General features: G+C 45.3%; 1 long non-coding RNA gene across 5 annotated transcripts, besides 2 other annotated features; it reads left to right on the forward strand.

The window, feature by feature from the left end:
- Positions 3,365-3,529: a silencer, noted in NCBI's record as "fragment chr21:9879918-9880082 (GRCh37/hg19 assembly coordinates)". NCBI's record gives its function as "represses an EF-1alpha promoter that drives an FKBP-Casp9 reporter gene in an ReSE screen in K562 erythroleukemia cells {active_cell/tissue: K562}" and the evidence as "EXISTENCE:reporter gene assay evidence [ECO:0000049][PMID:32094911]".
- LOC101927615 (uncharacterized) lies at positions 7,847-26,247 on the forward strand. 5 transcript variants are annotated; one of them, XR_949123.3, is made up of 5 exons: positions 7,847-7,888; positions 15,402-15,673; positions 18,993-19,083; positions 21,103-21,340; positions 26,075-26,247. It is a non-coding gene; the product is annotated as an uncharacterized LOC101927615 (long non-coding RNA). The 5 variants fall into 5 exon arrangements; XR_246985.5 differs by lacking the exon at positions 7,847-7,888 and adding an exon at positions 11,568-11,751; XR_949124.3 differs by lacking the exon at positions 7,847-7,888 and adding an exon at positions 11,568-11,751 and having other exon boundaries at positions 26,162-26,241.
- Positions 26,233-26,427: a silencer, noted in NCBI's record as "fragment chr21:9902786-9902980 (GRCh37/hg19 assembly coordinates)". NCBI's record gives its function as "represses an EF-1alpha promoter that drives an FKBP-Casp9 reporter gene in an ReSE screen in HepG2 liver carcinoma cells {active_cell/tissue: HepG2}" and the evidence as "EXISTENCE:reporter gene assay evidence [ECO:0000049][PMID:32094911]".

Raw genomic sequence — 27,778 nt, forward strand, 5'->3', positions numbered from 1 at the left:
CCCCTCATGGGCCTTCTGTCCGACTTGGGGTACCCCTAGCCGCCCTAGGCACACACTGGACTCGAACCAGGGGCGCCAGCATCCCTGGGGCTCAGCGCAAGGGTTCATGGGAATACACTTTCGTCCGTGGGGGACCCAGTCCTCACTTCTCGGCGGCACAGTTTTTTTTTCTCTGCCCCAGGTGCCTCACCTTCCCCTCATGGGCCTTCTGTCCACCTTGGGGTACCCCTAGCGGCCCGAGGCATACCCTGGGCTCGAACCAGGGATCCCAGGGTCCCCGGGGCGCAGCGCAAGGGCTGATGGGGAGACACTTTCTTCTGTGGGGGACCCAGGCCCCGCTTCTCTGAGGCGCGTTTTTTTTTTTTTTCTGCCCTAGGTGCCTCACGTTCACCTCATGGGCCTTCTGCCCGCTTTGGGGTACCCCTAGCGGCTCCAGGCACAAGCCGGGCTTGAATAAGGGTCGCCAGGGTCCCCGGGGCCCAGCGCAAGGGTTGATGGGACGACACTTTCACCCATGGGGGACCCAGGCCCCGCTTCTCCGCAGCGCGGTTTTTTTTTTTTTTATTTGCCCCAGGTGACTCACCTTCCCCTCATGGGCCTTCTGTCTGCTTTGGGTTACCCCTAGCAGGCCAGAGGCGCACCCTGGATTCCAGCCAGGGATGCCAGGGTCCCCGGGGCCCAGTGCAGGGGCTGATGAGAAGGCACTTTCGTCCGTGGGGTACCCAGGCCCTGCTTCTCTGTGGCGCAGTTTTATTTTTTTCTTTTCCGCCTCAGGTGCCTTACCTCTCCTCCCTCAAACCTCACCTTCCCCTCATAGGCTTTCTGCCCGCCATGGGGTACCCCAAGAGGCCCGAAGCGCACCCTTGTCTTGAACCAGGGATGCCAGGGTCCCCTGGGCCCAGCTCAGAGGCTGATGGGAAGACACTTTCGTCCGTGGGGGAACCAGGCCCTGCTTCTCTGCGGCACAGTTTTTTTTTTTTTCTGCCTCAGGTGCCTCACCTTCCCCTCATGGGCCTTCTGCCCGCTTTTGGGTACCCCTAGCGAGCCCAAGGCGCACCCTGGGCTCGAACGAGGGTCGCCAGGGTCGACGGAGCCCAGCGCAGGGGCTGATGGGAAGACACTTTCATCCGTAGGGGACGCAGGCCCCGCTACTCTGTGCTTCGGTTTTTTTTTTTCCTCTGCCCCAGGTGCCTCACCTTTCCTCCCTCAAACCTCACCTTCCACTCCTGGGCTTTCTGCCTGCGTTGGAGTACCCCTAGCGACCCGAGCGCACCCTGGGCTCGAACCAGGGATGCCAGGGTCCCTGGGGCCCGGTGCAGGGGCTGATGGGAAGACACTTTCGTCCGTGGGGAACCCAGGGCCCGCTTCTCGGCGGCGCGGTTTTTTTTCTCTGCCCCAGGTGCCTCACCTTCCCCTCAGGGGCCTTCTGCCTACGTTGGGATACCCTAGCAGTCCCGAGGTGCACCCTGGGTTCAAACCAGGGACGCCAGTGTCCCCAGGGCCCAGCGCAGGGGCTCATCGGAAGGCACTTTCTTCCGTGGGGTACCCAGGCCCCGCTTCTAGGCGGAGCGGTTTTTAATTTTTTTCTGTGCTCCAGGTGTCTCACCTTCCCCTCATGGGCCTTCTGCCCACCTTGGGGTACCCCTAGCAGGCCGAGGCACACCCTGGGCTCTAACCAGGGATGCCAGGGTCCACAGGCCCAGCTCAGGGGCTTATGGGAAGACACTTTCGTCTGTGGGGGACCCAAGCTCTGCTCCTCTGCAGGGTTTTTTTTTTTTTCTCTTCCCCAGGTGCCTCACCTTCCCTTCATGGGCTTTCTGCCCGCCTTTGGGTACCCCTAGCGGGCCCGAGGCTCACCCTGGTTTGGAGCCAGGGATGCTAGTGTCCCCGGGGCCCAGCGCAGCGCTGATGGGAAGGGACTTTTGTCCGTGGGGAACCCAGGACCCACTTCTCCGAGGTGACCTTTTTTTTTTTTTCTGCCGCAGGTGCCTCACCTCTCCTCCCTCAAAGCTCACCTTCCCCTCATGAGCCCTCTGTCCGCCTAGAGGTACCGCTAGCGGCCCGAGGCACACCCTGTGGCTGAACCAGGGACTCCAGGGTCCCTGCGGCCCAGCACAGGCGCTGATGGGAAGACACGTTCGTTCGTGGAGGACCCAGGCCCCGTTTCTCAGTGGCGTGGTTTTTTTTCTCTGCCCGGGTGCCTCACCTTCCTCTAATGGGCCTTTTGCCCGCTTTGGGGTACCCCTAGCGGGCCCTATTCGCACCCTGCGCTCGAACCAGGGTCGCAGTGTCCACGAGGTCCAGCGCAAGGCCTGATGGGAAGGCACTTTCATCACTGGGGACCCAGGCCCCGCTTCTCCGTGGCGAGGTTTTTTTTTTTTTCTCTGCCCCAGGTGCCTCACCTTCCCCTCAAGTGCCTTCTGCATGCTTTGGGGTACCCCTAGCGGCCCAAGGCGCACCCTGGGCTCGAACAATGGAAGCCAGGTTCCACGGGGCCAAGCGCAGTGGCTGATGGGAAGACACGTTCTTCCTCGGGGACCCAGGCTCTGCTTCTCTGCGGCGTTTTTTTTTTTTTCTTTTCCCCAGGTGCCTCACTTTCCCGTCATGGGCTTTCTGCTCGCCTTGAGGTACCCCTAGCGGGCCCGTAGGCGCACCCTGGTTTCGAGCCAGAGACGCTAGGGTCTCCGGGGCCCAGTGCAGGGCTGATGGGTAGGGACGTTCTTCCGTGGGGGACCCAGGCCCCACTTCTGGGCGGCACAGTTTTTTTATTTTTTTCTCTGCCCCAGGTGTCTCACCTTTCCCTCATGGGCCTTCTGTCTTGGGGTACCCCTAGCAGGCCGAGGCACACGCTGGGCTCCAGCCAGGGATACCAGGGTCCCCGGGGCGCAGTGCAAGCGCTGATGGGAAGACAGCTTCTTCTGTGGGGGACCCAGGCCCCGCTTATCCGCGGCGCGGTTGTTTTTTTTTTTCTCTGCCCCACGTGCATCACCTTCCCCTCATGGGCCTTCTGCCCGCTTTTGGGTACACCTAGCGGCCTGAAGCACACCCTGGTCTCGAACCAGGTACGCCAGGGTCCCCTGGGTCCAGCGCAAGGGCTGATGGGAAGACACTTTCGTCCGTTGGGGACCCAGGCTCCGCTTCTCCGTGGTGCAGTTTTTTCTTTTTTTTCCTGCCACAGGTGCCTCACCTCTCCTTCCTCAAACCTCAACTGCCCCTCAGGGATTTCTGCCCACCTTGGGGTACCCCTAGCAGGCCCGAGGCGCACCCGAGGCTCGAACAGGGTCTCTAGCGTCCACAGGGCCCAGCGCAGGGACTGATGGGAAGGCATTTTCATCCGTGGGGGACCCAGGCCCAGCTTCTCCTAGGCGCGGCTTGTTGTTTTTTTTTTTTTCTGCCACAGGTTCCTCACCTCTCCTCCCTCAAACGTCAACTTCCCATCATGGGCTTTCTGCCCGACTTGGGGTACCCCTAGCAGCCCAAGGCGCTCCCTGGACTCGAACCATGGATGCCAGGGTCGCCGGGGCCCAGCACAGGGGCTGATCGGAAGGTACCTTCATCCGTGGGTACCCAGGCCCCGCTTCTCAAAGCTGCGGTTTTTTTTCTCCGCCCCAGGTGCCTCACCTTCCCCTCATTGGCCTTCTGCCTGCTTTGGGGTAACACGAGCTGGCCCAAGGCGCTCCCGGGTCTCGAACCAGGGTCGCCAGGTTCTCGAGGCTAGCGCAGGAGGTGATGGGAAGGCACTTTCATCAGTGGGGACCCAGGCCCGGCTTCTCAGAGGCGCTGATATATATATATATATATATATATTTTTTTTTTTTTTTTCTGCCACAGGTGACTCACCTCTCCTCCCTCAAATCTCACTTTCCCCTCATGGGCTTTCTGGCTTCCTTAGGGTACCCTAGCGTGCCGGAGTCTCTTCTGATCCTTGAACTAGGGTCGCCAGGGTCCAGGAGGCCCAGCGCAGGGGCTGATGAGAAGGCACTTTCGTCTGTGGGAGAACCAGGCCCCGCTTCTCCTCGGCACGTTTGTATTTTTCTGCCGCAGGTGCGTCACCTCTCCTCCCTCAAACCTCACCTTCTCCTCATGGGCCTTCTGCCTGCTTTGGGGTACACCTAGCGGGCCTGAGGTGCACCCAGGCCTAGAACCAGGGTCGCCTGGGTCCACGGGGCCCAGCGCAGGGACTGATGGGAAGGCACTTTTTTCCATGGGAGACCCAGGTCCCGCTTCTCCGTGGCGTGGTTTCTTTTTCTTTTCTGCCACTAGTGCCTCACCTCTCCTCCCTCACAGCTCACCTTCCTCTCATGGGCTTTCCACCGCGTTGGGGTACCCCTAGTGGCCCAAGGCTCTCCCTGAGCTCAAACCAGGAACCCCAGGTTCCCCGGTACCCAGCACAGGGGCTGATGGGAAGGCACTTTCATCCGTGGGGGACCCAGGCCCCACCTCTCCACGGCGCGGGTTTTTTCTTTCTTTTTCTGTGACAGGTGCCTCACCTCTCCTCCCTCAAAACTCACCTTCCCCTCATGGGCTTTGTGCGCCCAAAGCCCCCCTTGGGGTTCACTTAGCGGCTGAGGCACACCCTGAGCTCGAACAAGGGACACCAGGGTCCCCGGTCCCAGTGCAGGGACTGATGGGAAGACACTTTCGTTCGTGGGGCACCCAGGCCGTGCTTCTCCGCGGCGAAGTTTTTTTTTTTTTCTCTGCCCCAGGTGCCTCACCATCCCCTTAGGGGCTTTCTGCCCACCTTGCAGTACCCCTACTGGCCCGAGGTGCACCCTGGGGTCAAACCAGGGATGCCAGGGTCCCCAGGGCCCAGCGAAGGGGCTGATGGGATGGCACTTTCATCCGTGGGGGACCCAGGCACTGCTTCTTGGTGGCACGTTTTTTTTTCTCTGCCTCAGGTGCCTCACCTTCCCCTCATGGACCTTTTGTTCGCTTTGTGGTACCCCAAGCGGTCCCGAGGCGCAACCTGGGCTCGAACCAGGGTCGCCAGGGTCCACCACGCCCAGCATAGGGCCTGATGGGAAGGCACTTTCATCTGTGGTGGACCCAGGCCCCACTTCTCTGAGGCGCGGTCCTCTTTTTTTTTTTTTTCTGCCCCTGGTGCCTCACCTCTCCTCCCACAAACTTCAACTTCCACTCATAGGGCTTCTGTCCGAGTTGGGGTACCCCTAGTCGCCCGAGGCGCACCCTGGGCGTGAACCAGGGATGCCAGGGTCCCTGGGGCGCAGCGCAAGGGCTGATGGGAAAAAACTTTCGTCTGTGGATGACCCAGACACCGCTTCGCGGCGCATTTTTTTTTTCTTTGCCCCAGGTGTCTCACCTTCCCCTCATGGACCTTCTGACTTTCTGCACCTGCTCCGGCGCTGTGGGCCTCCCTGCGCCTGCGCCGGCGCTGTGGGCCCCCCCACCCCCCGGCGCCTGCGCCGGCGCTGTGGCCCCCCGCCCCCCGCGACTGCGCCGGCGCTGTGGGGCCCCCACCCCCCTGCGCCTGCGCCGGCGCTGTGCAACTTTGCGAGGGCGGAGCTGCGTTCTTCCCAGCACCGACACGGAGAGCATCGCCGGGGCGGAGCTGAGTTCTCCTCTGCACACACTTCGGAGATACAGCAAAGGCGGAGCAGTGTTCTCCTCAACACAGACCTGGGCAGGCCGGGGTCTCCGTGAGGGCGGAGCTGCGTTCTGCTCAGCACAGACCCGGGGGACACCGCGAAGGCAGAGTAGCGTTCTCCTCAGCACAGACCTTGGGGGCACTGCCTCGCTTTGGGACAACTCGGGGCCGCATAGACGCTGAATAAAATCCTTCCTGTTTGCAGCCCTGAGTAATCAGGGTCAGCGACCAGTAAGAAGGGTTCAGTGTGGAAAAGGGAAACCAAAAGCCCCTCTGAATCCTACCCACCGAGGTTCTCCCCAGCCAAGGCGAGGCGCCGCAGTGCGAGATCCACACCGCAGCCTCAGAAGACAAATGCAGCATTCCTAATGCGGACATGACACCCAAAATATGACACGCCCATTGCTCATGTAACAAGCACCTGTAATGCTAATGCACTGCCTCAATACAAAAATATTAATATAAGATCCGCAATCCCCTTGCTGCCATGCAGTCCTAAGACAGATCATAATAATCAACATTGACATAGTCAATACAAACGTAGTAACGAACCTAGGGTTAAGGTTGGTGTTAGGGTTAGGGGTTAGGGGTTAAGTTTAGGGTTAGGGGTTGGAGATAGGTGTTGGGGTCAGAGTTAGGAGTTAAGAGTCAACGTTTAGAGTTAAGGGTTAAGAGAGGTTAGGGGTTAGGGATAAGGGGTTAGGGTTGGATTAGTGTGAGGGTGAGGGTTGTTGTTAGGGGTTAGGCTTAGGGGTTACAGTTAAGGGTTAAGGGTTAGGGTTAGGGGTTAGGGTTAGGGTCAGGGGTTAGGGGTCAGGGGTTAGGGGTCAGGGTCAGGGGTCAGGGTCAGGTTCAGGGGTCCCACTCTGTGAGTTGTCTATTTACTCTGCTGACTGTTCCCTTTGCCATGCAAAAGCTGTTTAATTAAGTCCCAGCTATTTATCTTTGTTTTTATTGTATTTGCATTTGGGTTCTTGGTCATGAAATCCTTGAGTATGTCAATGTCTAGAAGGGTTTATCCAGTGTTATCTTCTAGAATTTTTATAGTTCAGGAATTAGATTTAAGTTCTTAATCCATCTTGAGTAGATTTTTGTATAAGATGAGAGATGAGAATCCAGTTTTATTCCCCTACATGTGGCTCACCAATTATCCCAACATCATGTATTGTAAAGGGGGTCCTTTCCCCACTTTATGTTTTTGTTTACTTTCTCGAAGATCAGTTGGCTGTAAGTATTTGGGTTAATTTCTGGATTGTCTCTTCTGTTCCATTGGTCTATGTTCCTATTTTTAAACCAGTACATTGGTGTTTTGGTAACTATGGCCTTATTGTACAGTTTGAAATCAAGTAGTGTGATACCTCCAAGTTCTTTTTGCTAAGGCTTGGTTTGGCTACATGGCTCTCTTTTGGTTCCATATTAATTTTAGAATTGTTTTTGTAATTCTGTGAAGAATGATGGTGGCATTCAGATGGGGATTGCATTGAATTTGTAGATTGCCTTTAACAGAATGGTAATTTTCACAATATTGGTTCTACCCATCCATGAGCATGGGGATGCGTTTCCATTTGTTTTTGTCATCTATGACTTCTTTTCTTTCTTTTTTTTTTTTTTTTTTTTTTCCAGAGGGAGTTTCGCTCTTGTCGCTGAAGTGGGAGTGCGATGGTGTGATCTCGGCTCACTACAACTTCTGCCTCTCGGGTTCAAGCGATTCTCCTGCCTCAGCTTCCCGTGTAGCTCGGATTATACGCATGTGCCACCGTTCTTGGCTCCATCTATGATTTCTTTCAGTAGTGTTTTGTAATTTTCATTGTAGAGGTCTTTTGATTCCTTTGCTAGGTATATTCCTAAGTTTTTTGTTGTTGTTGTTGTTTTTTGCAGCTATTGTAAAAGGGGTTGAGTTCTTGATGTGATTCTCTGCTTGGTAGCTGTTGATGTATAGAAGAGCTACTGATTTGTGTCCATTAATCTTGTATCTGGAAACTTTGCTGAATTCTTTTATCAGTTCTAGGAGCTTTCTAGAGGAGTCCATAGGGTTTTCTACGCAAAAGATCATATCATCAGCAACAAGTGACAGTTTGACTTCCTCTTTACCGATTTGGATTTCCTCTATTTCCTTCTTTTGTCTGATTGCTCTGGCTACGACTTCCAGTACTATGTTGAAGAGGAGTGGTGAGAGTAGGCTCCTCGTCTTGTTCCAGTTCTCAAAGGGAATGCTTTCACTGTTTCCCCATTCAGTATTATGTTGGCTGTGGGTTTGTCATAGATGGCTTTTATTACATTAAGGTATGTCCCTTGTATGCCTATTTTGCTGAGAGCTTTAATCATAAAGCAATGCTAGATTTTGTCAAATGTTTTTTCTGCACCTGTTGATATAATCATATTAGATTTTTTTAATTCTGTTTATTTGGTGTATCACATTTATTGACTTGCATATGTGAAACCACTCGTATATCATTGGTATGAAACCCACTTGATCATGGTGGATTATTTTTTGATATGTTGTTGGATTCAGTTAGATAGTATGTTGTTAAGGATTTTGGCATCTGCGTTCATCAAGGATATTGGTCTGTAGTTTTCTTTTTTGGTTATGTCCTTTCATGGTTTTGGTATTAGGGTGATGCTGGCTTCATAGAATGAATAAGGGAGGGTTTCTTCTTTCTCTGTCTTGTGGAATAGTATGAAAAGTTTGGTATCATTTCTTCTTTGAATGAAAGAAGACATTCTTTGAATGTCTTGTAGAATTCTGCTGTGAATCTGTCTGGTCCTCGGCTTTTTTTGCTGGTAATTTTAAAATTACCATTTCAGTCTTGCTGCTTGCTTTATTGGTCTGCTTGGGGTATCTAATTCTTCCTGATTTAAGCTAGGAGAGTTGTATTTTTCCAGGAATTTATCCAACTCTTCTAGGTTTTGTAGTTTATGTGCCAAAAGGTGTTCATAGTACCCTTGAATAATCTTTATTATTTCAGTGGTGTCAGTTGTAATATCCCCTGTTTCATTTCTTAGTGAGGTTATTTGGATTTTCTCTCTTCTTTTCTTGGTTAATCTTGCTAATGGTCTATCAATTTTATTTATCTTTTCAAATAACCAACTTTTTGTTTTATTTATGTTTTGTATTTTTTGTTGTTGTGTCAATTTCATTTAGTTCTGCTCTGATCTTGGTTATTTCCTGTGTTTGCTGGGATTGGGTTTGGCTTGTTCCTGCTTCTCTAGTTCCCTGAGATGTGAACTTAGATTGTCTATTTGTGCTCTTTCAGACTTTTTGACGTAGGTTTTTAGGACTACAAAGTTTGCTCTTAGCAGTGCCTATGCTGTATCCCAGAGGTCTTGATAGGTTGTGTCATCCAGTTCGAATAAATTTTTTACATTTCCATCTTGATTTCATTTTTCACCCAATGCTCATTCTGTGAGGAACAACCAAATTGTTTTCTGCAGCAAGGGCATCATTTTCTATTCCTAGCAGCCAGTTCATGAGGGCTCCAACTTCTCCACCTCCTTAGCAACATTTATTTTCTGTGTCATTGTTATGAAACCCTTACTTGTGGGTGCAGAGCGGCATGAATGAAGTCAATTAACATGTTTATTACCTCACAGAATAGTTACCTTTTTGTGTGCATGTGTGGGATAAGAAAACTTAACTCTATCCCCTGTGACTGAATAGTGGCCATTCCAGCTGCTCCAGGCTCCAGCAGAGGAAGACCGGGGTAGGTGGCTCCACCAGGGTGATCCTCAGGTCTGGCGCTCACGCATTCCAGAGGCCACCCAGACCATGCTCCGCCGCCTGGGCGCCCAAGCTGCAGTCGCCCTCTGTGTGCAGGCAGCAGCTGCCTGGCAACCCCCGAGCCCGCTCGCGCTCCCACCATAATATCCAGGGAGGGAGAGAATGATTTTATTTTATTTTTTTTGAGACAGACCCTCGCTCTGTCGCCCAGGCTGGAGTGCAGTGGCCTGATCTTGGCTCACTGCAAGCTCCGCCTCCCAGGTTCACACCATTCTCCTGCCTCAGCCTCCCTAGTAGCTGGGACTACAGGCGCCCACCACCGCGCCCGGTTAATTTTTTGTATTTTTAGTAGAGACGGGGTTTCACCATGTTAGCCAGGATGATCTCGATCTCCTGACCTCGTGATCCACCCACCTCGGCTTCCCAAAGTGCTGGGATTACAGGTGTGAGCCACCGCGCCTAGCCAGAGAGAATGATTTTACTCCCCATATCGCAGGGGATTTACATTCCCCTGCGTTATTTTTCATAATATCCAGGGGGAAGATGAAGATATTACTCCCCATATAGCATGGGAGAACAAATCCCTGCGATATTGTTCATAATATCTCTGGGGGGAGAGAATGATATTTCTCCTTTTATTGCAGGAAGTGTACACCCCCCTTGCGATATTGTTTATAATATCTAGTGGGGGAGAGGACGATGTTACTCCCCATATTGCAGGGTGTGTACAACCCCCTAGAATATTGTTCATAATATCCACGCGGGGAGGAGATGATGTTACTACCCATATCGCCAGGGTGTACTGCCCCCTGCCATATTGTTTGTAATATCCAGGCTGGAAAAGGATGATATTACTCCCTGTATCACAGGGGATGTACACCTCCCTGTGACGTAATATCCAGGGTGGGAGAGGAGTATATTACTCCCTATAAGGCAGAGTGTGTATACACCCCTCTGTGATATTGTTCATAATATCCACTGGGAGATATGATATTACTCCCAATATCGTAAACACCTCATGTGTACACCATCTGTGATATTGTTTGTAATATCCAGTAGGGGAGAGGATGATACTACTTTCCACATCCCAGGGGGTTTACACCCCTCTGTGATACAGTTTGTAATATCCAGATGGGGAGAGGGTTATATTACTCCTCATATCGCAGGACACGTACACCCGCCTGTGATATTGTTTGTAATATTGTTCCCAATATCATTTTCCCCCATGGATACAGGAACAGCATCGCATAGGACTTGTACACCCCCTGCCATACTGGGAGTAGTAGTGTTTTATCCCTTGCTGGACATTAGGAACAATACCATGGGGGGGTGCACAGCCCCTGTGATATTGACAGTAATATAATCCACTATCCCCTAAATATAGGAAAAATATCACAAGAGGGATGTACACACTTGGTGATATTGAAAGTGATATGATCCTCTCCCTACCTGGATATTAGGAGCAATATCACAGAAGGGTTGTACACTCCCTGCGATATTGACAGTAATATCCTCTACCCCCCTGGATATTAGGAACAATATCACAGAAGAGGTGTACACCCACTGTGATACTGACAATTTCCTCTCCCCCCCTGGGGATATAAGGAACAATACCACGGGGGGGTGTACACCCCCTGTGATATTGACAGTAATATCATCCTCTCTCCCCCAGATATTAGTAACAATATCACCGAAGGGGTCTACAACCCCTGTGATATTGACAGTAATATCCTCTCCCCCCCAGATATTAGGAACAATACCATGGGAGGATGTACACCCCCTGTGTCATTGACAGTAATATCAACCTCTCCCCCCACCGGATATTAGAAAGAATACCACGGGGGCTGCACACCCCCTGTGATATTGGGAGTAATATCACCCACTATCCCCTAAATATTAGGAACAATATCACAAGGCGGGGAGAACACCCTCTGCGATATTGGGAGTAATGTCATCCTTTCCCTGCCCCTGCATACTAGGAATAATATCACAGGGGATGTACACCCCCATGCGCTATTGGGAGTAACATCACCCTTTCTTCCCATGGATATTAGAAACAATATCACAGAAGTGGTGTACACACGCTGCACTGTATAGAACAAAGCAGGCGGAGGAAGGTGGGATAACCTTGCTAGCTGAAGCTTCTGGCTCTCTTTTTTTCTTCTTCCCGTGCAGGAAACTTGCTTCCCTTCTTCCTGCCCTTGGACATGAGACTCCAGGTTCTTATACGTTTGGACTCTGGGACTTGCACCAGTGGCTTCCCCGAGGCTCTCAGGCCCCCGGCCTCAGACTGAAGACTGCACTGCGGGCTTTCCTGGTTTTGAGGCTTTTGGACTTGGACTGAGCCACTACTAGCTTCTCTCTTTCCCTACCTGGCAGACAGCCTGTTGTGGGACTGCCTTCTAACCGTGTGAACCAATTCTCTCTGGTAAACTCCCTTATACATATACGTGTATCTTGTTGGTTCTGTCCCTCTGGAGAAACCTGACTAATACATTTTGTATATTTTTCCTCCACTGCCCTTTCCTCTGCTTCTAGGCTTACCTAGACCACCACCATTCTTTCCCCCTTTCTAAAGTAAAAGTTGTTTTTTTCTCACTAAATGCATGGTATTCTGCCCATTTTCCATGGCTTCCCTCAGCCCTGCTCTGTTTATTCTTGCTATCTTAAGAGGAAATCCCTGCCTCTTTCATGGCTTTTCTCACTTGGTCTACTTACTGGTTTCTGTTGTTCTCAGAGACACACTGAGACCTTTCACATCTCACTGTCACTTCTTGGAAGGGCTCTCTACCTCGTCTGCCTGCTGAGCAACCTCTTGGAGTGACGCGGGCACTCTTGAGTCACTGAACTTGAGCTATTTGGTGTTAGTATGTTAATTTATCTTCTTAGACCACTTACCACTTCCTTAACTTCAAAAGAAAAGAATAAGTATTATTTTCCATGGTTGATATGAAGAGTAGAAATAACTTATACAAAATACATTGCAGTTAAGTGATAATAAATGGCTGTGAATGTCCTTATTAATGTTATTCTATCAGTCTCAGCTCAGATACCATCTGCTCTGTGAGCTCTGCTCTGAATCATATCTGCTTCTTCTCTGGGTTCCTTGTGCTCTGTTCTTAACTACTTTAAAGCAGTAATTGTTCTGATTCTAATTAGTGATGCTTCCCAATAAAATTTTAATTTTGTAGATCTCTTCCCCCCACCCCTGCCCCAGCCTAACCAGTGTTTTCTTACTTTTTTGTGTACAGGCTACATCACTGGTCTTCTTTTATTTGTGGCTAAATAAATGTTGTGTTAGAAGAGTAAAGAGTTCCCAGTTACATGGGATCTATAGTTCTACAAAATGAATGTATACATAATCCATGTAAATACTTCACTTATTTTAAAACAATTTTTTAATTTTTAAATTAAATTTAATTTGTGCATGTGTGTGAGACCAGAGTGAGAACAGAGATGGCGGTGGTGAGGGGCAGTGGTCTCACCATGTTGCCCAGGCTAGTCTTGAACTCCCCTTCAAGTGCCACCCTCCTCACCTGGCCCCCCTCACCTTGCCTCCTCCCCTCTCACTCCTATGCCAACTCCTGCCATTCCCTACCCCCTCTGTAGACTGCAAGACTCATCAAGTGACTTGCTGAGCAAACTCTGCTGAGAAGAGATCTGTTTAGGGACACAGGAGGCCAAGTACACAAAAAAGCAAAAGAACTAGCATGCCTTTTTCAATGGATGTCTATTTTACAGGGCTGGCTTCAGATTATTATAGCTTTAAATAAAAGGACCGTTTTGTCATCTCGGCCCATGGCCTACATTATTTCTTTACTGTCCATTGCCCTGGGCACTTGACTAATAATTTAACAGCAGTTTTTTTTTTAATTTTAAATCATGATTCATTGCATTGCTGTAAGAGTAATTAGAGGTAAAGTAGGGCTTGAAACTGCCTGTAGTTGGTTACTTACTGAGATCTTAGCATCATTGTCAGGTGAGAGGGTGAAGTTTTAATTAGCGCTAAGTGGGATAGAAATTCAATGCACTGAAACTGCAGTGTCCAATTCAGTAGGTGCTAGTCACCTGTAACTGTTGAGCACTTGTAATCCTGGCTAGTCCTAATTGAGATGTGTTGTGTTAAATACACTGGATTTTGTCGTTGGAGTGGGAAGAACAGTGTAGAATATCTGCTTGATTTTTTTTATATTTATTACATGTTAAAATTATTACTATGATTACTATTTGGGACATACTGAGTTAAGTATATTTAAAATTAATTTCACCTTTTCTTTTAATGGGGCTTACTAGTACATTTAAAATTACATACGTGGCTCACATATTTATTGGACAGCACAGCTCTAGAAGTTTAGGAAGAAATAAGAAAAATATTGAGAATAGGTAGCGACAGTAGGAAGTTTGACCTCCTGTAAGACTGATTCCAATAAAACTAATAGGTGATAGTTTTAATTGGCTTTTTCCTACTAGAAGAAGTAAGTGTACTTTACATGCCTCTTTGTTCTCCCTCTTTCCCCTTCAATTTAGTGGTTAGCGTGTATTTACTACATCAGGCTTAATATTCACTAAACAGTGTTAGGAAGACTTAGGTAAATGATTCCCTGATGAACACACTTGATATTCAAAGCACTTTCCTAACCCATTTTTAATTGGAATAGAGTCAAATGTAGATGGCTTATTAGTAGTCATCTCATTTAAATCTCATGGAATTTTCCTACTAAATCTCAAAGTAAACAATTTGTTATAGGCTGTTTTGTCAAGTTTATGGAAGGGACAGCATAGGACATGTGGTACTTCATTTCCAAATTGCTTGAGATGGTTTTCATTATAATCATACATTATTTGCTTCTGGTTTTCCAGAAAAGCCAGCTAAACCTGTGGTTCATTTAGATATAAATGAAATATCCACAAAGGATTGCTCAAAGTGACTTATGCAACTTGAATATATATTTTTTCTGTAGGGTGTTTATTCCAAATTATCTGGCCATTTGCTGCAATTTGCAGTTTTTTAGAAAACACCAAATATTTCTCAAGTTAGAGATGTTTTAATAAAAACAGTCATATTGTACTGGCAGCAGACAAATAAAATGGCCCTTTATTTCACAGTTGAGAATTTGAAATTGGAAGGTAATTAACATATGTAAGGATGATGTATTTGCTGCCTGGCTTATAGGAATGAGCCAAGTTGTTTTTTGAGGTATGTTGTTGCTGTGTATGTCCCACCTATTTTGCTTCCTTAATGAACAATGCAAGTTTGAGACAGAAATATTTGAGAACATTTTTATCAGTTGTGACATTTTGATAGTGAACATTTTATATCTTCTGTCAACTTAAAATGTTTGCATCTTCTGTCAGCTTAAAATGTTTAATTTGTTATAGCCAAATAATTTGGCTATAATTGATAATTTAATTTATCAAATTAAATTGCTTTTTTTCCCTTTAGACTTTCTTCAGTCACATCTGAATAAATCCCTTAGAAGTAAGCTAGATGTAATATAATGAAATGCTTAAAAGGGCTGTGTATCTTCATATTACACTTACAGTGATTTTCTCTTGTGCCCATTATATTCTACCTGCAGCTAGTTGAGGTAAAGAGAGGGCATTTAACTGTCAAGGGAACCTGTGAGGAGACTGTAGAAATCTGGAAAGTCTCTTGAGTCTTTGAGGGATTTTGGGATGCAGAGAGTGGGGCTGGGATCTCTGGCTAGGTTGGAGCCAGCCTGCATTTGTATCTTTATCTTGGAAGCAAACTTAGAATGCAGAGATAGATGTGGCCTGGATGCTGCTAACTCTAGCCAACCACTAAATCTTAAGGTGGGAGAGATGCAGCCTTTGGCTGGGTGCTAAGCTGCTGTAGCTGGTTGAATGTAGAGGTCACTATCTTTTCTGAATATTTGTAAGTAAATTAAATCATTCTTTACTCCTGTATGCCTGCCAACCAAATGGGAAATCGCTATAGAAAAGATGGTTTAAATTTTAGTCTTTGAAGTGGTTTATGCACGTTTCTGGAATCAAGATTTAACGCGGACTTGGATTGGATATTGAATATTTTTGATTTGTCTACTTTTCTCTCCATAGGGAGCTTATAGCTTCATTGCACTGTGTGTGGCATTTGGGTCCTGTTTGACAGCAATGACTGCCTTTCTGTTTAGTGTCTGTGTGCTATGAAGATTGCACACAGGGGTCCAGATGCATCCTGTTTTGAGAATGTTAATGGATACACCAGCTGCTGCTTTGGATTTCACCCATTGGTGGTAGTGGACCCGCTGTTTGGAATGCAGACAATTTAAGTGAAGACATATCCATATATGTGGCTCTGTTACAATGGTGAAATCTACAACCATAAGAAGGTAGGGGAAAAGAAGCCAGATGTGTGGATGTGATTAAACTTCAGAGCTTGTTGGTTACGATGAGATTATATATTCTGTATCATGCTTTTTACTTTGCAAAGCATTCTATGTTATCTCATTTGCTCTAAGTATGTAGATAGGGAACTGATGAATAAAATGGTGAGTGAAATCACTTGGTCACAAAAAAGTGATAAAAATGGGGATTACACAGTTTCTTTGACTCTTAGAATTTTTTCTCCTTCTCCCCAGCTTTTTGTTTTGAAAAAAATTCTAACATACAGAAAAGAACAGAATAGTGAGCACCTAGATTGAATAATCATTAATGTTTTGCCATATTTGCTTGATTTTTCTTTCTACACACACACACACACACACACACATACACACACACACACAGTTTTTTGCCAAATCATTTGAGAGTATGGTGCAGATTTTGTGACACTCCTAAATATATAAGCATTTATCTCCTAAGAATAAGGACATTTTTCTACATAACATCAATACCATTATTAAACCTAAGAATCCATAATATCACCTGGCTGGGTGCGGTGGCTCACGCCTGTAATCCCAGCACCTTGGGAGGCTGAGGTGGGTGGATCACGAGGTCAGGAGGTTGAAACCATGCTGGCTAGCACGGAGAAACCCCATCTCCACTAAAAATACAAAAATAAAAAAAATCAGCCAGGCGTGGTGGTGGGCACCTGTAGTCCCAGCTACTCGGGAGGCTGAGGCAGGAGAATGGTGTGAACCTGGGAGGTGGAGCTTGCAGTGTGCTAAGCTTCAGCCACTGTACTCCAGCCTGGGAGACAGAGCAAGACTCTGTCTCAAAAATGAAAAAAAAAAATCATAATGCCACCTAATATCCAGTTAATACTTAAATTTCGCTAAGTGTCTGGAGAATTTTTTTGTTTTTTGAGACAGAGTCTCAACTTTGTCACCCAGGCTGGAGTGCAGTGTTGCGATCTCGGCTCACTGCAACCTCTGCCTCCTGGGTTCAAGCAATTCTCCTTCTTCAGCCTCCTGAGTAGCTGGGACGACAGGCCCACCTGTCACCATGCCTGGTTAATTTTTTGTATTTTAGTAAAGACTGGGCCCAGGGTGGTCTGGAACTCCTGAGCTCAGGGAATCTGCTCACCTTGGCCCCTCAAAGTGCTACCAAGAATATCTTTATAGCTGGTATTTGTTTGTTTAGAGCCAGATTTCATTCAAGATTCATGCATTTGGTTGTGATGTTTCTTGGTATTTTTTCTGAGACTTCTTGATAGATACCTGTCAGGCACTGATAGAGAGTTATATCCTAACCATGTTTTGGACATTTTTATCTCTGAATAATAGCTTTTGTCATTGTTTGTTGCCTGCTCACGGGAACACTCTTAATAATAGTCTTCTTGTTCAAAAAGTTTTAAAATAGTTATTCAAGAAATTCCTTTCACACATTTCTTTATTCCTTTATTAAGGACCTAATATGCACCAGATATCATTTTTCTAGGTGATTGTAGATGAAATGGTGAAAAGGAAAGGCAAGAATGGAATTTCCTGCTAGTGGGAAGTAGAAGAGAGTATTAAAACTTTTTTCTTTCTAAGTCAAATCAGTGTCATATGCATGAGAAAGCTAGGTAGTATGATGGCATTATCAGCTTGGCTTTCTCCTTAAATGAAATAGGAAGTGCTCTGTTTTACTCAGATAGTGTTTTTTTTTCTAAAAAGCTAAAATAAGTTAAATATTTTGAAATTAATTAATTTCTGTTCTAAATTAGTCAAAAGTTATATTTGTAAAACTAGAGAAGTTTGTTCCATTGCTTCTACCAAGCATCTCAGCTTATGTAGTTGGGGCAGCTAGAAATCTAATGAACAGAATGCATATTTTAGGCTTATATAAAGTATTCTGCAACATAAGGTCAAAAATACCCCCTACCCCCTTTTTGATAAAAATAAAGCTTACTACTAATAATAAAATACAGCCAGAGGTGTGCTGGGAGTGGAGGGGGACTGAGTTAAAGAAAGTAGGAATGGGGTAAAGGCTGGGGCAAAGAGCAGACTCTCTCCCTGCAGGGGAGTATCAGGGGTCTGCAGCCAAGTTAAATGACAGCATGACTTCAGGAGGCCAGATTTGAGGGCTTTTATCTAAGATGCAGCATCGGAGTTTGGTTTAAGAGAGTAGGAAGTGATACATCTGTTACCCAAAGGACACTTCTCTTTTTAGAATAAATTACCTGCAGAGTTTAGGCCAAAGAGGTGGGCAAGGTAGATTTGGGAAACTGTTGCTTGCTAATATCACCAAACGCTTTCTTTTTATACTTGGTGGAGGCTTTAATTGGGGCAAGGACATTTTTATACAAAGATAGAGAAAACAATCACCTATGGAATTTGATTCCTTGCTCCATGCCCTCGCTAGCACCTCTCAACATGCTTGATGATATTTAAAATTTCTTCCTAGGGAAAAAACTTTTCATCCCACAATTAGAATCAGGCTTAACTTGCTTTTTGAAAAGGTAGTAGGCAATTTGTGTTAAGATCTAAATTACCAAGATTTTTATATCTTGAAACAGATTTAGATGATAGAGTGAGGTCGGTGGTGGTGGTGGTTGGTGGGAAGGGGTAGTTTTTTAGAGAGGGTATTAAGAGTTGGGGTTTTCAATGTGAGAGAGGTGAAGGTTTGAAAATAAGTAAGAAAAGCACTAAAAGGGTGAAGTCAAGGGCCTCAGAGAGCCAGGATGATAGATTCTATTTCACAGTTTAACACAGGATCACCATAGACCAAAGCAAGTTTATAACTAAGGCAATGAAGATCATCTGTCTCCTCCCTTCCCCATTAATTGTGAACTTTAGTTTTATAAGCTCCTAAGAGGCAGAAAACAAATTGGAGACTCGTCATCTATTTGGGAGTGTATGGCATGTATTTATTGTCCTAGGTGCTGGGTTTATTTTTTTCAGCTAATGACAGTTTTCCATGCTTTATGGTAAGTGACCATAAAGTAAGTGGTAAGTGACTTACCCTTCAGGCAGTTCAGCCCAGGACAGTCAGCAGAAGACTGTTTCCAGACCCCACCTGCTAGTTACAGATCATCCCTGATAGAGCAGAGAGGGGTGACCAGGTAGTGACTTTATAGTCACTGGAGGCAAAGCCCATTTTTGGACAGTTCATTGAGGGCTTACAGATAAAAGGTTCACAAATTATGCAGTGAGCTGGATGGAGTGTGAAGCGTATTTATGGGTCGTGCACATACATAATAGGTTTACTTTTTGAGATTTCAAAACATGTTTTAAACTTAACCTAGGATTCCCACCTGATTTAAACCTCTTATTTCTCTAATGTCAGCCAAAAATGTGAGTATGACATACAAAGAGAAATACATCAAGGACTTTTCATCCTCATAGTTTGCCAGTGATGCTGGAGAGTGTCAGAATTGGTGAGTAGCCTAATCAAACTTTCTTGCTCTGCATGCAGTGGCAGACAGTCCCTTTGCTGTTCCTTTGGGGCATGCAGACTAATAAAGTGCCACCATCATTTTATCTCTCAGTGAGCAGTAGTTTTAATGCTACTGCAGTGGTGGGAGCACTGGGCGTTGTCGTCCTCACCTGAGGACAAGCAGCTTTGTTTTGGATCATGTATCTGTTATTGTGATGGAGCCATTTATTTTTCAGGGAATGACGCCAAATGATGTTTGTCCCTTTGCTTTACATTTTTATAGCTAGGTCTTTGAAGCTGAACTGGAGGAACTTCTTAGCCAATACTGTCTTCTTAAACCAAAAGTTGACAGTTGCAGAAGACACGTTTTTTAGTGTCACGGCAACCAAGCAACATATTACCTTAAATTAAATTTACAGGTTGAGCATCCCTAATCTGAAAATCTGAAATTTGAAATGCTTCAAAATCTGAAACTTTTTGAGCACTGACATGACACCACATGTGGATTTTGATGTCCTAGTCAAAGTGCAGGTGAACAACACACAGTTTATTTGATGTTCTCTAATGAAAAAAGACCCTCTCAGCCCCCTTCAGCTGCAGTATAACTTTTCTACACATGCTCAGATTTCCCCATGCAAGCACACACACAAAGGGTCACAGAATGGCACATGTGCAAGCTGGACAAGCCAATGGCAGGATCCCCACAGATGGGACCTAAGTGCATGACTCGTTGTGTATTTTTCTTATTCTCTGCTCTGTGGTGTTAGCATACTGAAAATGTCAATAAGGCCTGTAGATATCCCTGCGAGCAGCAATGATAAGGAAAAGTAGAAACACTTAGAACACAGAAAGTCAAGCTGTTGGAGAAATTGGACTGTAGTGTAAAGGTATAGATGACATGGTGAAAATGTGTGATAGAGATATTGAAGATATTGAAGGACTAGAGCTACCTGCATTCATAACAGAACAAGAGGTCATGTCAGTTTATAAAATTAAAGAGAGACTTCCAAGACAAAAGCCCTTGATAATGAGGCAGATGACTCTGGAGAAACATTATAAAAAACCATCTGGCAGAATGCCTCCTCAGCCTCAGAGGACTCACCTCCTAGTTGCTCAACTCCTGATATTTCTTCTCACCTAAAAAAAGAAAAAAAATACAATGTACAGTAACCTTTTAATCAAAACGCAGCCTTGTAGGTGGAGCCTGAAAGCTTGCCATTGTTTATACAGCTGTTTAACAGCTGATGCAGGTATTCTGGTGATGCTACTGTGTTGCTTATTATTTTTTACTGTATTAATGGCATGTCATATTTTTACTTATGTGTGAATAATTGTGTGAAAATGATTGCTCATCAGTAGCATATAAATTCAGAGTCAGAAATGATGGTCAGTGATGTCAGACAGCCACAGATTTTCCACATGGAAGCTGAGATAGTGACACCTTTGCTTTCTGATGGTTCCATGTACACAAACTTTGTTTCATTCACAAAATTATTTGAAATATTATATAAAATTACCTGTAGGCTATGTGTATAAGATATATGAAACATAAGTGAATTTCACATTTAGACTTGGGTCTCATCGCCAAGATATCTCACGTAGATGCAAATATTATAAAATCCAAAAAAAAATTCCGAAACCCTAAACACTTCTGGTTCCAAACATTTCAGATAAGGGATACTCAATCTGCATATATAAAATATTTATGTATCACATACATAGTATGTATAAAATATGAATTTCCATTCCTCTACAGGTTACTATTCTGGTACATTCCCGTTATATTCTGTTTATCAGACTGCAACTAAAACTTTCATGGGTTCAGCTTTATGTTGAACAGAATTTGCAGAATTATGAGTTGAAGCAAACCCTAGGTTGATAATGCTGTGATTCTCCTAAATCACCAAAGTGCATGAAATGATTTTAAAGCTCCAGAAATACTGAAGCAACTTTGTGATAAAAATTATTAGTGGATGCACAAGGAGTCTATAATGTCTTGGTTTTGCTATTGCTTACTAAGGTGCAGCACCAGTTTGAATTTGAATACCAGACCAAAGTGGATGGTGAGATAATCCTTCATCTTTATGACAAAGGAGGAATTGAGCAAACAATTTGTACGTTGGTTGGTGTGTTTGCATTTGTTTTACTGGATTCTGCCAATAAGAAAGTGTCCCTGGACAGAGATACATAAGGAGTCAGACCTTTGTTTAAAGCAGTGACAGAAGATGGATTTTTGGCTGTGCGTTCAGAAGCTAAAGGTAATAGTAAATTTACGTATAGATTTTCATTATTGTCTTGGTCGTGTGTTTTCTTTTAAATTATATCTGAAAATCTCTTAGCAATCCAGAATTTTACAAGTGACTAATTAAGTTGTGAGTTCTTACCTTTTTTAAAAAAACAGAGTAGTTTTACTCTCCTTTTCAGCACTTAAATTCTGTAATCCTTGAAGGATGGGTCTTTAGTGTAGTCATTTATTTTTGGTGTGCTAATATGCTCTGCATATAGCTTGATCGTAAGTGCAGTTTTAAGTTTTCCTGTGTCATACTGTAATGATAGGGTTGGCTCTGCAATTATTGCCCTGCAGTACTTTGCTGAAGTTATAGCACAGCAAATATTAGGATTTCTAAAACAGCTTTATTGGCAGTTTACATGCCATGTAATTCACCCACTCGAAGTATATAGTTCAGTGGTTTTCAGTATATTCACAGATGTTGGGAACCAACACTCCAATCAATTTTAGAATTGTTTTTCCACCTCAAAAAAAAATCCTATGCCCTTTAGCTTATTTTCTTTCTATTTATTTATTTATTTTAAGAGATGGGGTCTTGCTCAGTCGACCAGCCCAGGCTGGAGTACAGTGGTGTAATCATAGCTTAGTGCAGCCTTGAACTCCTGGGCTCAAGCAATCCTCCCATCTCAGCCTCCCTAGTAGCTAGGAGTACAGGCATGGACCACAACACCCTGCCTCCTGTGCCGTTTAGCTTTCAATTCTGTCTCTCCACATACATCATCTGCACCCCCGCAGTTGTAGCACTGGCAATCACCAATCTTTCTGCCTCTGGATTCCCTATTGCGTGTGTTTCATATAAATGGGATTATCTATCATATGGGCTTTTGTTACTGGATTCTTTCACTTGGCATAATGCTTGCAAGGTTTGTCTATGCTGTGACATGTATCAGTACTTACTTTTTATGGCCACATGATACTCTGTTACATGGATACACTGGATTTTGTTTATGCACTTGTCAGTTGATGGATATTTAGGACATTGTTTACCCCTTTTGGCTATTATGAATAATGCTGCTATAAACATTGGTGTATAAGTTTTTGTGTAGATATTTGTCTTCGGTGTTTATCTAGGAGCAGAATTGCTCAGATGCATATAACTGTCTAATTGAGGAACTGCCAAACTACTTTTTGAAATGGCTGCATTATTTTTTATTCCCTCCAGCAGTGTATTAAAATTTCAGTTTCTCCACATCTTCACAAACACTTACTGTGTGACTTTTTAATTGTAGCTATTATAATGTATGTGAAATTGTATCTCCTTGTGGTTTTGATTTGTATTTTCCTATTGAAGGTAGTGTCTTTTCTCATGCTTATTGGCCATGTGTATATCTTCTTTGGGGAAATATTTGTTGAGATCTTTTGTCATTTTTTTTTCCTGCTAGGGATCATTTTATTTTAAAAACAATAGACTTTTTTTTAGCAGTTTTAGAAAAAATAGAGAGAAAAGTGCAGAGAGTCCACATATGCTCCCTTACAGTGCCCCTGCCCAGTTCTCCCAACTCTTAACACCTTGCGCTACTGTGCTAAATCGATTAGATTTGATGAACTGATACTTATATCTGAAATTCATAGTTTACTTCAGGGTTCACTCTGTGTTTTATAGATTTTTGGATTTGACAAATGTATAATGTCATGTACCCACCATTACAGTATTATGTAGAACAGTTTCATTGTCCTAAAAATCTCCTGTGCTCCACTGAGTCATTCCTCCCCCTCCTCTTCCTCCCAAACCCCCGGTCATTACTAATCTTTTTACTCTCTAATTTTGCCTCTCCCAGAATGTCATATAATAGATCATGTAGTATGTATCCTTTTCAGACTGGCTTCTTTCACCCAGCAGTATACATTTAGGGTTCTTCTGTGCTTTTTCATGGCTTGATAGCTCATTTTTTAAATTGCAGAATAATATTCCATTTGTTTGCATGTATTGCAGTTTGTTTATCCATTCTTGAATTGTCTATCTCTAATTGGGTTGTTTTGTCTTTTTATTACAGAATTGTAATTGTTCCTTATGTACGCCAGACACAAATCCCTTGTGTTCATCAGGGTTGCAGGATACAAGATCAATATACAAAAATCAATAGTATTTGACACACTTTAACTGAGTACTACATACTCACAATGAGCAATCAGAAAATGAAATTAAGAAAGCAACTTCATTTATCATAGCATCAACAAGAATAAAATACTGATATATTTAAGAAGTGTAAAACTTGTACTCTGAAAACTATAGAACATTTTTGAAAGAAATGAAAGAAGATCTAAATAAATGTAAAAGTATCCCATGATCATGGACCTAAGGCTTAACATTGTTAAGAAGGCAATACTCCCTAAACTCATCTACAAATTTAACTTCATCCCTGTCAGAATCCCGGATGAGTTCTCTGTAAAATGGACAAGCTGACTCTGAAATTCATATGGAATTACAAAGGACTAGGAATAGCCAAAATAATCTTTTGAAAATGAGAACAAAGTAGGAGAACTCATACTTACTGACTTTAAAACTTACTACAAGTCAGTGGTAATCAGGACAATATAATACTGGCAGAAGGATAGATGTATAGACCAGTGGGATAGAATTGAGAGTCAGATATGAACCCATACATATATAACCACTGCTTTTGACAAGGGTGCCAAGATTATTCAGTGGGGAAAGAAGTTTGAGAACTCTCACAAGGACAACTAGATATGTAAACATATGCAAATCCTGGAGTAGGACCTTTACCCAACACCACATACAAAAACTATGGATGCAAAAAAAGTGGATCAAATGGATCCATTTTGAGCTAATCCACGTAAATGTAAGGACTAAAACTATAAAATCCTGAGAAGCAAACATAGGAGTAAATTGTCATGACCTTGAATTTGGCAAAGTTTTCTTAAATATGAGACCAGCAACAAGAATAAAAATTGATGAATTGGACTTCATCAAAATTAAACATTTTTGCACTTCAAAGGACACCATCAAGAAAGTGAAAAGACAACTCACAAGATGGAAGAAAATACTTGTAAATCATGTGTAGCACTTTTTGATGATAAACTTGAGGAAGACTTTTTTATTTTTTATTTTTATTATACTTTAAGTTCTAGGGTACATGTGCACAATGTGCAGGTTTGTTACATATGTATACATGTGCCATGTTGGTGTGCCGCACCCACTATCTCATCATTTACATTAGGTATATCTCCTAATGCTATCCCTCCCCCCACCCCACGACAGGCCCCGGTGTGTGATGTTCCCTATCCTGTGTCCGAGTGTTCTCATTGTTCAATTTCCACCTATGAGCGAGAACATGTGGTGTTTGGTTTTCTGTCCTTGCGATATTTTGCTCAGAATGATGGTTTCCATATATATATATGTCAGTTGCCAGGACTGCTGGGCAAGCCTGGGAAAGAGAGTACCTGGGGAAAGCAGCCTCCTGCTCCCCCGTGCCTTCTTTGAGCCTGATGTTCATTTGATGTGGTAATATATAATCACATCCAGTTTACCCTTTGAAATTCCTTGATTGTTCTTTTCTATTTCCTTGACACTGTCCTTTTACAGACCACATAATCTTATCTGGAATACTACAACAGTTTTCTTTTCTCAGTGATTTTAGAATAACCTGTCAAAAACTCATCTGACTATAGTAGTACCTGCTTACAACCTTTTAATTACTCCCCATTCCCTACCAGGCTGTGTAGCTCACTTGAGCTCTGCTAGGTGGTGAGGGAATCTGGGTCCTTTTTCTGGTATTTGAATTCAGTGCTACGTAGGTTACTGGCTGGGTTGACAATCTGAAATTGTAAATCATGAGTATTCTATGTAGATAGACTGTCACGATTTACAATAAAACATTGACATGTCAAAGATCATGGTGATGTGAGGTTGGGTACTGTCTGTGAGAATTAATTGAGGAAATTAAAATTATATGGTTTTATTTACATAGAGTGTATAACAACTAGTTAAGGGATAGATGTCTTCTTATCTGACTTTCAAGTATCTAAGAGTGGATTATTGTGCTTGTTAAAGTTCTGGGAACCATGGCTATTTTCTGAAAATACCTCAGTGATGACAAATGAATGACTACCAGCCTCTTGTAACATTAGGACTCCAGTTCATCCCTTTGCTTCATAGGTGTGTCTTTTCCTTTTGTATATATTTGCTTTAGTGTAGAAAATAGGTTTTCTTGATTAGAAATCTAAGAAGAATAAATTGAAAACTGGAGATTTTTCTATTGCTTTGGATTACCAAAATTAATGTAATTTGGCACTATATCCCTGTGCCATTATTGTCTCTCTGGTAAGTAGATGGTAGGGTTTTGGGTGATTAAATTTTTTTCCCTATTTTGCTTATTTAATGGGCATATGTTTGTATTAAAAAGGGGAAAATAAATAGGAATGTAGAAGATGTTAACTAATCGTGAAAGTTATTGGGAAGGGTTACCTAATTTAAAAGTTGGCCAGCCATGGCAGCACTGCCTGTAGTCCCAGCTGTGGGGGAGGCTGAGGCAAGAGGATGGCTTGAGTTCAGGGGATAGAGGTTACAGTGAGCTATGATTGTGCCACTGCATTTCAGCCTGAGGGACAGAGCCAGACCCTGTCTCAGAAAAACCTAGAACAGCAACAAACAGAGAGAGGAGCCTGGACGGACTGAGCAATATTAGTGTCCGGGAGCTGCTGTAGTGATGGCTTATGACATCAGGAATTTATTCTCTCACAGTTCTGGAGGCCACAAGTCCAAAATCAAGGTGTGGGCAGAAATGCGCTCCCTCTGCAGACTCCTGGGGAGGATGCTTGTTTCTTCCAGCTCTGCGACTGTGGTGCCTGCAGCCATTGGAACCAGCTCTGCACGGCTCAGACCTGGGTGATGAGGACACAGCTTTGCAGGTGGGCAGCCACATCCCCAGGGGGAGACTGTGGGCCTGTGGCAGGGTAGGGGCAACCAGTGCAGGGGCTCCCCATTGTTGCCCCTGAGCTCCTGGGGCTTGTGGAGAAAGACAGGTGGATGCACACATACTGCAGCTCCCTGGATCTGAGCCTTGGTTTCCCTACCTGTGAAATGGGCACCCATGGCAGCTCAGAAGTGTCTGGGAGCATCCCCTGTGGGGGAAGGTGTGGGGGGCTGCTGGGGCACAGTCATGGGGAACCCCAGTCCCCCTCTCCATGTGCTTCCCTCAATGCTCCCTGATGCCAGCAGTCCTGCCCCCGAACAGAAAGGGGCATTCCTGTGAGTTCCTTGTGTGGGGGACTGGTCACAGAGACTCCCCAAGTGCAGGGCAGGGTGGAGGGAGGCTGAGGGGTGGTTGAATGGACAGGAGAAGAGCTCTCTCCAGTCCCTTGGGTCTGGGTGGCCTGGGGAGCATCCATTTGGGCAGGCAGCTGGTGGGGCTGGTGGCTGAGCCACTGTGGCTCGGGGACCCCAGGCCAGGACAGAGTAGGGTGGGCAGGGAGAGCAGAGTGCGAGCATATGGGGCAGGACAGGTGTCTCCTGGACAGAAAGAGCCCTGGTCACTCATGGCTGCAGCATAGCCATGGCGACAGGAAAGTGCTGCTGTACATTGTGCTCCTGGGGCTGGCTCCCAATGGACACCCAACAGCATCTCCCCCATTGTACTGTGGGATGCTGGCAGTGGTGCTGGGCACTGGGGTAAGAGCCTTGGCAAGCCCTTCGCTCCCTGGGTGTGAGACTTTGGGCTCCTGGATGCCTGGGTTTCTGTGTCCTATTTTTCCCATGGAAGATGTTTGGGGTGCTCCCAGGAAATGGGGAGGGCCCTGGGGGGTCAGGATTGTATTATTAAAGCCAGAAAGTCTGGGGTTCCATTTTTAGCACAAGGCAGGCAGCCCATGAGCCCCAGCCCAGTGGCCAGCCTGTGTGGGAGGGGAGTGGGGGTCTGAAGGAGTGAGGCTTCTGTTACTGCAGGCTCCACAGCAGCCCCCCAGGGTGGCCCGTGTGGGCTGGACAGCGGTCACTGCACCAGGGGCTCTGGCGCCGACCTTGAGCCATGCATCTAATGCCTGTGAGAGTGATCTCTAGGAGCCACTGCACAAGGGGGCAGATGAGGGAACCCTGACATGGGACAGCCGAGGGCGACCCCAACACGGAGCGGGCAGCTGTGTCCAGGCTCCACTGGATTCCGCAGAGGACAGAACACAGCTCTGACTCCAGGGTGTGGGCTCACTGAGGGACAGGACAGGCTGGGGTTGGGAGAGGGCCATGCTGCAGCTGGGCCAGATCCCACCTGCACCCCTCAGATGGCAGGGCCTGGACGTCTCCATCCCCACCCTGACCCGGTCAGTAACAGCCATGGGCCAGCAGCCCCCAGCAACCCCTCCCTCTGTGAACTGCCAAGGACAGGAGGTACCACAGTCTCTTCCAGGCAAGAGCTGCTGGAGCCTTCTTTATTCTTGTGCTAGAAGCCCAGGG

Source organism: Homo sapiens, chromosome 21 (assembly GCF_000001405.40).
Source record: "Homo sapiens chromosome 21, GRCh38.p14 Primary Assembly".
Classification (NCBI taxonomy): domain Eukaryota; kingdom Metazoa; phylum Chordata; class Mammalia; order Primates; family Hominidae; genus Homo; species Homo sapiens.